We start from the raw sequence: 9390 nt of genomic DNA on the forward strand, positions 1-9390 counted from the left end.
ATCATTTGTCTACCGAGTACTAGGGTTGGTAGAAAGCCCTGGGACACAGACATGACAAAGACAAGTCCCTGAAGTGCTCCAGGAGGTGGGTAGAGCAAACATGAACCCAGAACTTCCGTCCATAGTGCAGAGGGCTCTTAAAAGAAGAGAAACCAAAGGCTTGTGTTGTTGGGGGAGAGGGGTGGAGGGGAGGAACATGGTCTGGAGAAAGGAACAGCCAGCCCTGTACAAGACAGGACATGGGGCTGGTTCTTACAGGGTTAACAGTGTTGCTAGACAGGTAGATACAGAAAGGCAATTTGGGCAGCTGTAGCTGTCTGAGCAGACACTGGGCAGAATATAGCTTTTGGCTGGGAACTTTTTTCATCTTCCCCACCTGGAGCACATGTGGGTTTTGTTGTTGTTGTTATTGTTGTTGTTTTAGATGGAGTTTCACTCTTGTTGCCCAGGCTGGAGTGCAATGATGCAATCTTGGCTCATCGCAACCTCCACCTCCTGGGTTCAAGCGAGTCTCCTGCCTCAGTCTCCTGAGTAGCTGGGATTACAAGCACGTGCCACCACACCTGGTTAATTTTGCATTTTTAGTAGAGACGGGGTTTCACCATGTTGGTCATGCTGGTCTCGAACTCCTGACCTCAGGTGATCCACCTGCCTCCATCTCCCAAAGTGCTGGGATTATAGGCATGAGCCACCTTGCTGGGCCAAGTGTGGGTCTTAGAAGCTAGCCTGGGTTAGGTGCAGTGGCTCATGCCAGTAATTCTAGCACTTTGGGAGGCCAAGCTGAAAGGATCATTTAAGGCTGAGTTCCAGGCTGTGATAAGCCATGATTGCACTACTGCACTGCAGCGTGGGCAACCGAGCAAGACCCTGGCTCAAAAAAAAAAATAAATAAATAAAATAAAAATAAAAAAGTTTTTCTTGGGGAAATAAGAAAATAAATTTTTTTTAATTAAAAAATTAAAAAAAGAAGCCAGACAGTTGCATGAGGAAGGGCTCAAGATCCAGGCCCTATCCCTGGCCAGAGCATGGTGCACAGCAGGTACTCAGTAAATGGCTCTCCAGGGGCTGGATGGATACTGGGAGAGAAGATATGGAGGATGGAATGATGGCCTGTAGATATTTTAACATGCTGTTTTGTGGAAGAGATTGCAGACTTCATTGATTAACTCCAAGGGGTAGAATTAAGTTCAAGGGAAAGAAATTGGTTTTAAGAATAACCTTTTTCCTAGATTTGTACTTAATTGAACCTTTGCCTAAGTTATATGGCTTTTTAAAAATTAGAGGTTTCCTGTAAAAATTCTTAGGTGCCACCGGGACCCTAATCTTCTGGAGCTGCCAAGGGGGTCTGGGAGGAGACAACATCAAATAATTACACTATAACTTAATGATAGCTGTGAAAAGGGTTGTGAAGAAGCTGGGTCATTGGTACAATGGTTCTGAGTAGGTGACACTGGACTTGACATGTTGAGAATGGTGTTGAGGGAAGGATGCTGGTAGAAAGAAAAGGGAAGGATGCAGGCAGAGAAAACAGCTTGTGCGAGAGCCTCCCCCAAGAGTGGGAGTAGGGTGGAGGAGAAAAAGAACAGGGCTTGTTGACAAAGAGAAGGTCCCAGAAGAGGTGAGTCCAGATTGGAGAGGTATGCAGGGGTTAGACCATGTAGGGCTAAGTCGGCCACAATTCCAATTTTGAATGTGAGGAACACGGTTTTTTATTCACTAGTGTTTCCTCAGTGCCTAGTAGACTAGTGGCACTCCACATTTGGTGAAAGATTTTATCCTAAAAATTATGGGAATTCAGTTTTATGCAGAGAAGTGAAATAATGATATCTTTCTCATTTTCATCACATATAAAATGAGAATAATGGTCATTGTGGTGAACATTCTGTAAAGCAAAAATAAAATTCTAAGGCCGCCCCCCACAACCATCTGAATGGACTTCCTCCTCAGCCAGGGCTCTTTCAAAATTAAACCCGAGTGACCGTTTCAGGCCATGATGGGAAGTAGGGGTTGAACGTGCCTCATTATACCTCTCTACCGTTAACATCAACACAGACTTTAAGTTTGATAAGAAACATTTTACAACCCATTCTCTCTGAAGCCTAGGATTTGAAGGTTTCCTCTGCAAATAAGAACTTGGGTCTCCACAATCCTTTATCTTAACCCAGACATTCCTTTCTATTGATTTCAGGTCTTTAGAGAAACTCAACCAATTGTCAACCAGAAAAATTTAAAATCTACCTATAAGCTGGAAGCCCCCCACCGCCCCACTTCGAGTTGTCCCGCCTTTCTGTTGTCCCACAAACCAATGTCTTTCTCTCTTTCCCCCTCCCCTCTCTTCCCTTCCTCCTTTCCTCTTTTCTTTTCTTTCTTTCTTTTCTCCCTTTCTTTCTTTCTTTCTTTCTTCCTTCCTTTCTTTCTTTTCTTTCTCTTAGGAATAACGCTCAAAATCCTAAGGGAAATTGAACACTCGAACAAAGGATTATTAGCAAAGCAATTTTACTTCTGCTCAGAGGGGTGTCTGCTTGGCCAGTCGCCATGAGAGCACACCTGAACAAAGGGGCACGAGAGCCTTTATTCCTGACGCAAGTCCTGCCCCTGTACCCTTTCCCCATTGGCCGGGGTCGGGTCATACAATCTGAACTAATCCCGGTTGGCTAAACATTTGATTTTTTTAGGTAATGTGGGCACGTAAAAGAAAGTGGAGAGGAAAGGGGAAGGGGTGCCTGTAATGAACTAGAAAGTTAGTCCTCTTTCCAAATAATGAAAGGAATGTGAGCTGGTACTGATAACGTCTGGTACTGATAACGTCTTGTACTGTGGCGTGCCTCGGCATCTAACGAAGGCAAAAAGGAGAAAAAGGAAAACAAAAGTGTGTGTGGGGGGGAGTACTATGAATTAAAGAATAAAAGATTGATCTAATTATTTGAAGAGAAACCTCATCATATCCCAGATTTCTTTCTTTCTTTCTTTCTTTTTTTTTTTTTTGAGACGGAGTTTCGCTCTTGTACCCCAGGCAATGGGGCGCGATCTCGGCCCACTGCAATCTCCGCCTCCCGGGTTCAAACGATTCTCCTGCCTCAGGCTCCCGAGTAGCTGGGATTACAGGCACCCACCACTACTCCCGGCTAATTTTTGTATTTTTAGTAAAGATGGGGTTTCACCATGTTGGCCAGGCTGGTCTCAAATTCCTGACCTCAGCTGATCCACCCGCCCAGGCCTCCCAAAGTGCTGGGATTACAGGCATGAGCCACCAGGCCCGGCCCAACCAGTGTATTTCTTGAATGAACTGAAGTCTCATATCTCCCTAAAATATGTAAAACCAAGCTGTACCGGACCACCTTGGGCACATGTTCTCAGGACCTCCTGAGGGCTGTGTCAAGGGCCATGGTCACTCATATTTGGCTCAGAATAAGTCTCTTCAAATATTTTACAGAGTTGGACTCTTTTCGTTGACAATTCAATGACGCTTCAAGCGTTTTTGGCAGCTCTCATCAGTGGGATCCGCATTAATAGTGAAACGGCATCATGGCGCTTCCCGCAGTTCGGGATTGTTTTGAACTTTCATCTAGAGCGTATTGTGGGTGGGGAAGTTGTGTTTGCTGAGTAGATTGTGACACTGCTGGCTTGGGTCACTCGAGGTCAGGGATGAGAGACTTTTTTTCCTAGAATTGGTAAGACAGGAAATCAATCAGAGGCAGAGCGACGCCTCTGGCTCTGGTCTAGTGGTGCAGCGTCTCTAGCCCTCGCCCCGCCCACCGTCCCCGCGAGGCGTCCACTCGCCGAGCCCCGCCCTCACCCAGCACCCACCCCGCTCCTCGCGCCCTCCCCGCCTGTTCCCGCCCTGTGCTGAGGCTGCGCAGTCGGTGCCATCTTCTACGCCCCTGGGAGCGTTGTGGCTGCTGTTTCCTTCGGCTTTCCTCCTCCTGCTCCACCATGTGGAGCCGACGGCAGGGCCGCCTCAGGCCCACGGTCTGCGGGGTGGAGGAGCTACGGCGCCGCCGGCGGGAGCGGGAGGCAGGTGTGGGCGGCCGAGGGAGCGCGGGGGTATATGGCGGTCGGGGATAAGTTGAGACCCCAGGCTCGGAGCCGCGGGTTCTGGGTTGTGGTCGTCCTTCCCACGCTCAGCCGGCTCCTCTGCCCCCAGCACTGCGGAAGGCGCGGAGGGAGCAGCAGCTGGTCAGCAAGAGGCTGCTGAGAAACGACGCCCCAGAGGAAGCTGGAGAGGGATGTGTGGCTGCGATCCTCGGGGAAACCGAGGTGAGGGGGCAAGGTAGGGTGCGCTGGAGTCCACGCCCGCTGGCGCCAGACTCCCGGGAGTACTCGAGGTCTGCCCCAAACCTGAACGCAATCCACTCTACACTTCCACGCATCCAGTGGGTCAAGCCAGAAACAGGGGAATCATCCTGCACAACTCTTTGACCCACAACCCCATATCGATCCATCATCAAGTCCTAGTTGTTTACCTCCTGAAGAGCTTTGGAGTCTTTACATGCCTCACCATCGAAGCTGCCACCACCACCTCCTCTCTGGATACTACTGCAGTCTCCTAAAAGGTCACCCTGCATCTATGCTTGTCACCGTCACTACGTCCTTTAAAAACACGTGGAGACCAAAATCTTTCCTGTGCCTTGCAAAGCATAGCATGGTCTAGCCTCTTCCTAACTCAAATTTTATCAGTTTTCTCATCCTACCCACCGTCCTCTTTTTAGTTCCTGCAACGATATATCGGATTTGTGTCTCAAGCCCTTGGCATTCGCTACGTCTAACGTTCGTTTCTTTTGGTATTCTGTCTTGAGAGCCTATTTTTTTTCTTTTCTTTTCTTTTTTTTTTTTTGAGACTCTCGCTCTGTCGCCAGGCTGGAGTGCAGTGGCATGATCTCGGCTCACTGCAACATCCGCCTCCCGGGTTCAAGCGATTCTCCTGCCTCAGCCTCCCGAGTAGCAGGGATTACAGGCGCGCGCCACCACTAATTTTTGTATTTTAAGTAGAGGCGGGGTTTCATCATGTTTGTCAGGCTGGTCTGGAACACCTGGCCTCATGATCCACCCGCCTTGGCCTCCCAAAGTGCTGGGATTACAGGCGTGAGCCACTGTGCCCGGCCACCTACTTGTTTCTTGTAGAATATTAATCATTATCTAATGGTTTGTCTATTGTTATTTCTCCAACTAGACTTTAATTGCAGGAAAACCTAGATCCTGTGTTGTCATTGAAAACCCGGTTGCCTGCACATTATCTGGCATATAGTTAAGTACTCAGTGTTTATTGAATGAGTGAATGAAAGGATTTATTCAGTAAGCATTGAGTATCCCCTGTATTTGTATTATGTTTACGTACATAGTTTACCGTACATACCATGTTGACATATATATTATCAACTTATTCCTAGGTCATACTATTCCATTGTATGCTTACTTTATGCCAGGACACTGTGCTGGTCACTGAGGTACACAAAGATGAAAGGATAGAGTCCTTTTCTTTGAGGTGCTCACAGCCCGGTGAAGAAGACAGATGTCACAAGGGAAGGAAACATGAGGAACAAGAGAAACTCCTAAGTCTCTCAAAAAGAGCTAACTTCCCAGAGGAAATGAGGAGCAGAAACCTGAAGAGAGTGGGAAGCTGGAGAGGGTATCCAGGCAGAAGAAATAGCATGTGCAAAAGCTCGGAAATGTAAAAAAAAGAAAAAGAAAAAGCTCATGTTAGGCTGGTTGTTGTTAGAGTGTAGGTTGCATGGGGAGAATGGCTAGAGGAGTAGGTTTTGCCAGGCTGAGAGGTTTAAATATCCTTGAAAGAACCCTGTATGAAGGCAGGATAGATATTGTTATTCTCATTTTCAGGTGAGGAAACTTAGGTTCAGGTCCCATATGGAGTAAGTGGCAGGTATGGTATTAGAACTCAGTTCTGATTCTCTGTCCACTCCACTGCAAGGTAGATGCTTATTAGTTGCATTAGTGTGAATGACAAGTTCTGAAGGTGTGATATTGGAAGGCTCACAGGTGAAGTGGGCAGAGAGAGACTTAGGACTTGCTTTCTGTGAACCGTGTGTTCTCCTTTCCCTGCCCTGAACTCCAGGTGCAGCAGTTCCTGCGGCAAGCCCAGCGGGGGACAGAGGAAAAGGAGAGAGAGGGGGCTCTGGTCAGCCTTCGTCGAGGCTTGCAGCACCCTGAAACACAGCAAACCTTCATCCGGTCAGTGTGGATGGTGTGGTGGAGGGAGGAGTTGGGGCTCTGAGGGATGGACCACAAGCTAAGCAGGGCTCTGGTACTCACTCACATAGGCTGGAGGGCAGCATGCGGACCCTGGTCGGGCTCCTGACCAGCAACCAGGCCCTGCTGCAGCTTGAGGCGGCTCGGTGCCTGCATGAGCTCTCTCACTCCGAGCAGTCCACTGTTGCTGAGGCCTGCCTGCCAGCCACTTCTTACCTCCTCACCTACCTCTCCAGTCACAGCTCAGACTTCATAGTAAGCCCTGTCCCTTCCTATCTTGTTCTTGGTTTAGATTTTAAAATTGTGCTTTTGGGACCAGTTTGAGCTGGCAGGTAGGAGGAAGAAAACATGTTTGCCCTTATGCCTACAGCCATGGCTACACCCATCATCTCCCCACCCTCTTGTGAGCCGCAAGGATAGCTGCTCCAGCGTCCCCATCACCTCCCCTCCCCATCTCCCCACACGCAGCCTGGCATGAAACAGGCCAAGCCCAGTGCTTTTGTTGCCTGTTCTCAGGAGCTGTGTCTGTATACACTGGGTAACCTGATCGTGGAGAGTGAGGCTGTGAGAAGGCAGCTCCTGCCACAGGGCATTGTTCCAGCCTTGGCTGCCTGCATCCAGGTGACTCCTTTCTTCCTCCCTGGGCAACCCTTCCTTTGCTCCTCCCCACATGCTCCATCTACTTTGGTTAGGTAGCTCCAGCCTCTGCCCTGTGCCAAGGGGCTGAAAGTCTCTGAAGACCTGATGACCCAGCTTCCAGTCAGATCCTTACCCTGTCTACTTCCAGTCCCCCCATGTGGCTGTGCTGGAAGCTCTCGGATATGCCTTGTCCCAGCTTCTACAGGCTGAGGAAGCTCCAGAGAAGATCATTCCGTGAGTAAAATTGTCTTTAGATGTGCAGCCAGAGGTGACCCACTCAGTAGTATAGCTCCCGGATGCCTGAATGATTTCCAAAGCTGTTGCACATTTTAAATTCATGTGTCTGGCTAGGAAGGGCTTTGGGTTTGGACACTTTCCCATCTGGGCAGGGCTTTGGGTTTGGACACTCTCCCACCTGCTATCAGGGTTTGGTAAGAACCACTGGCATCTTCGTGGTTCCTACTTACAGCCCTGCTTCTGCCAGCAGCTCCATCTTGGCCTCCACTCTCCCTCAGCACATGCTACAAATGTTGCAACCTGGCCCAAAGCTCAACCCTGGGGTCGCTGTGGAGTTTGCCTGGTGCCTTCATTACATCATCTGCAGGTAACAGGGCAATTGGGAAAGTACCACAGATCTTCCCTGGGGCTCCCTTCCATGACATTCAACTCTTTGAACTTGTGTCTGGAATTGCTATAGTGAGTTTTCCTCCCTCCACTGTCTTCTCTTTTTGGAGCCCAGGAGACCCACAGACCTTAGCTGTTTCTCTTTTTTTTTGAGACAGTCTCACTCTGTCACCCAGGCTGGATGGAGTACAGTGGTGCGATCTCAGCTCACTGCAACCTCTGCCTCCCGGGTTCAAGCGATTCTCCTGCCTCAGCCTCCTGAGTAGCTGAGACTACAGATGCGTGCCACTATGCCCGGCTAATTTTTGTATTTCTAATAGAGACGGAGTTTCGCCATGTTGGCCAGGCTGGTCTCAAACTCCTGACCTCAGGTGATCCACCCACCTCAGCCTCCCAAAGTGCTGGGATTACAGGCATAAGCCACCACGCCTAGGCAACTGCTTCTCTTCTTAAAGGTGGAATTGACTATATACCTAGGGACTGCTTGCTTCCTGTTGCCCAGCCAGGTCAGCAATCCTCTGCTCATTGGCCATGGGGCTCTGTCTACTCTGGGGTTGCTGCTGTTGGACTTGGCTGGGGCTGTCCAGAAAACCGAGGATGCAGGACTGGAGCTGGTAGGTGAAGATGTCAGGTGAAATTCTGGGAGATGTTTCTTGATACTCTGGAATGCAGGTAACCTCTTCCTTCTTACACCTGACCCCCCAATTTGTCTTTGCAGCTGGCATGCCCCGTGCTTCGATGTCTAAGCAACCTGCTAACTGAGGCAGCAGTGGAGACTGTGGGAGGGCAAATGCAGCTCAGAGATGAGCGTGTTGTGGCAGCCTTATTTATCCTTCTGCAGTTCTTTTTCCAGAAACAGCCCAGTCTGCTCCCTGAGGGCCTTTGGCTCCTCAACAACCTCACTGGTACGCACCATAATCTGCCCAGGCCTGGACATTTGGATAATGGGGATATTTCCTCATGGCCTAGGCTGAGGTGGGTAGTATTGACAGGGGTGGTGGGGGAAAGCAGTTTTTCACCCTGGTACTTCTCTTCCAGCAAACAGTCCTAGTTTCTGTACCTCCTTGCTCTCCCTGGATCTGATTGAGCCTCTCTTACAGCTGTTGCCAGTATCTAACGTGGTGAGCGTAATGGTATGTATTGGGGTTACTTGAATCCAAGATCTGGTAGTCGGATTGTATGGGACAGCAGTCCTGAGCCCTCAGATGTACCCTTAGTTGAGAGCCAGCAGGTGGTGGTGTGTGGCCTCAGGGCCCAACCAATCTAGGTGTGTGTCCCTTAAACTGGATTATTTATCCTTGGACAAATCAACTAACCACCTTAAGCTTCAGTCTCCTCACTTATAACTGAGGATAATCTTGCATCATAGGGTAGTTGTAGGAGTATGAGAACATGTATGTAGAAGAGCTTGGCATGGTGCCTGGGCATGTGGTCACCATGTCATATATTTTAGCTATTGTTATGATCTTTGTGTTTCATTCTTTGTAGACTATATATGTGTCTATCTGCAGGTGCTCACAGTTCTGTGCAATGTTGCAGAAAAGGGTCCTGCTTACTGCCAGCGGCTGTGGCCAGGGCCCCTGCTTCCCGCCTTGCTGCACACACTAGCCTTTTCTGACACTGAAGTAGTAGGCCAGAGTTTGGAGCTGCTGCATCTGCTGTTCCTGTATCAGCCAGAGGTATAGGTTTCTGGCCCACATCCTCAGTCACCCCTGTTCTGAAGCCACACAGTGGCTCCCTTCCCATCCAGTCCTAACTATAGTTGTTTCTCTGGGCCTGGCTAACCTATATAGGTTCCATGTCAGAAACTTCATCCTCTTGTTGGGGAATGCACCCTCTGGAGTAGGCTGACCCATGAGGCTGTGGGAATTGAGTCTTAGGACACAGAGACCAGGTGTGTTGAATTTTCTTCCCTGCCCCTAG

General features: G+C 49.2%; 1 protein-coding gene across 15 annotated transcripts in view, besides 1 other annotated feature; it reads left to right on the forward strand.

Annotated features, from left to right (window-relative positions):
* Positions 1-9390, forward strand: part of TMCO6 (transmembrane and coiled-coil domains 6) — a 51203-nt gene that overhangs the window by 39065 nt on the left and 2748 nt on the right. For 2 of the 15 annotated variants that reach the window (XM_047417354.1, XM_047417353.1), the window contains exons 1-10: positions 3857-4018; positions 4145-4257; positions 6071-6186; positions 6276-6459; positions 6721-6825; positions 6992-7077; positions 7331-7447; positions 7970-8081; positions 8186-8372; positions 8506-8600. In XM_047417354.1, coding sequence (XP_047273310.1) covers positions 3934-4018; positions 4145-4257; positions 6071-6186; positions 6276-6459; positions 6721-6825; positions 6992-7077; positions 7331-7447; positions 7970-8081; positions 8186-8372; positions 8506-8600 — 1200 coding nt within the window. In that variant the 5' untranslated portion in view covers positions 3857-3933. Of the gene's footprint in view, positions 1-3856; positions 4019-4144; positions 4271-6070; positions 6187-6275; positions 6460-6720; positions 6826-6896; positions 7078-7312; positions 7448-7969; positions 8082-8185; positions 8373-8505; positions 8601-8978; positions 9147-9390 lie in introns of those variants that run through there. The other 13 variants (XM_011537663.3, XM_017009618.2, NM_001300980.2 and 10 more) reach the window with 12 other exon arrangements.
* Positions 3669-3918: a silencer, noted in NCBI's record as "silent region_16452". NCBI's record gives its function as "represses an Ori minimal core promoter by ATAC-STARR-seq in GM12878 lymphoblastoid cells {active_cell/tissue: GM12878}" and the evidence as "EXISTENCE:reporter gene assay evidence [ECO:0000049][PMID:35858748]".

The sequence above is a fragment of the Homo sapiens genome, chromosome 5, assembly GCF_000001405.40.
Source record: "Homo sapiens chromosome 5, GRCh38.p14 Primary Assembly".
In the NCBI taxonomy this organism is placed as follows: Eukaryota; Metazoa; Chordata; class Mammalia; order Primates; family Hominidae; genus Homo; species Homo sapiens.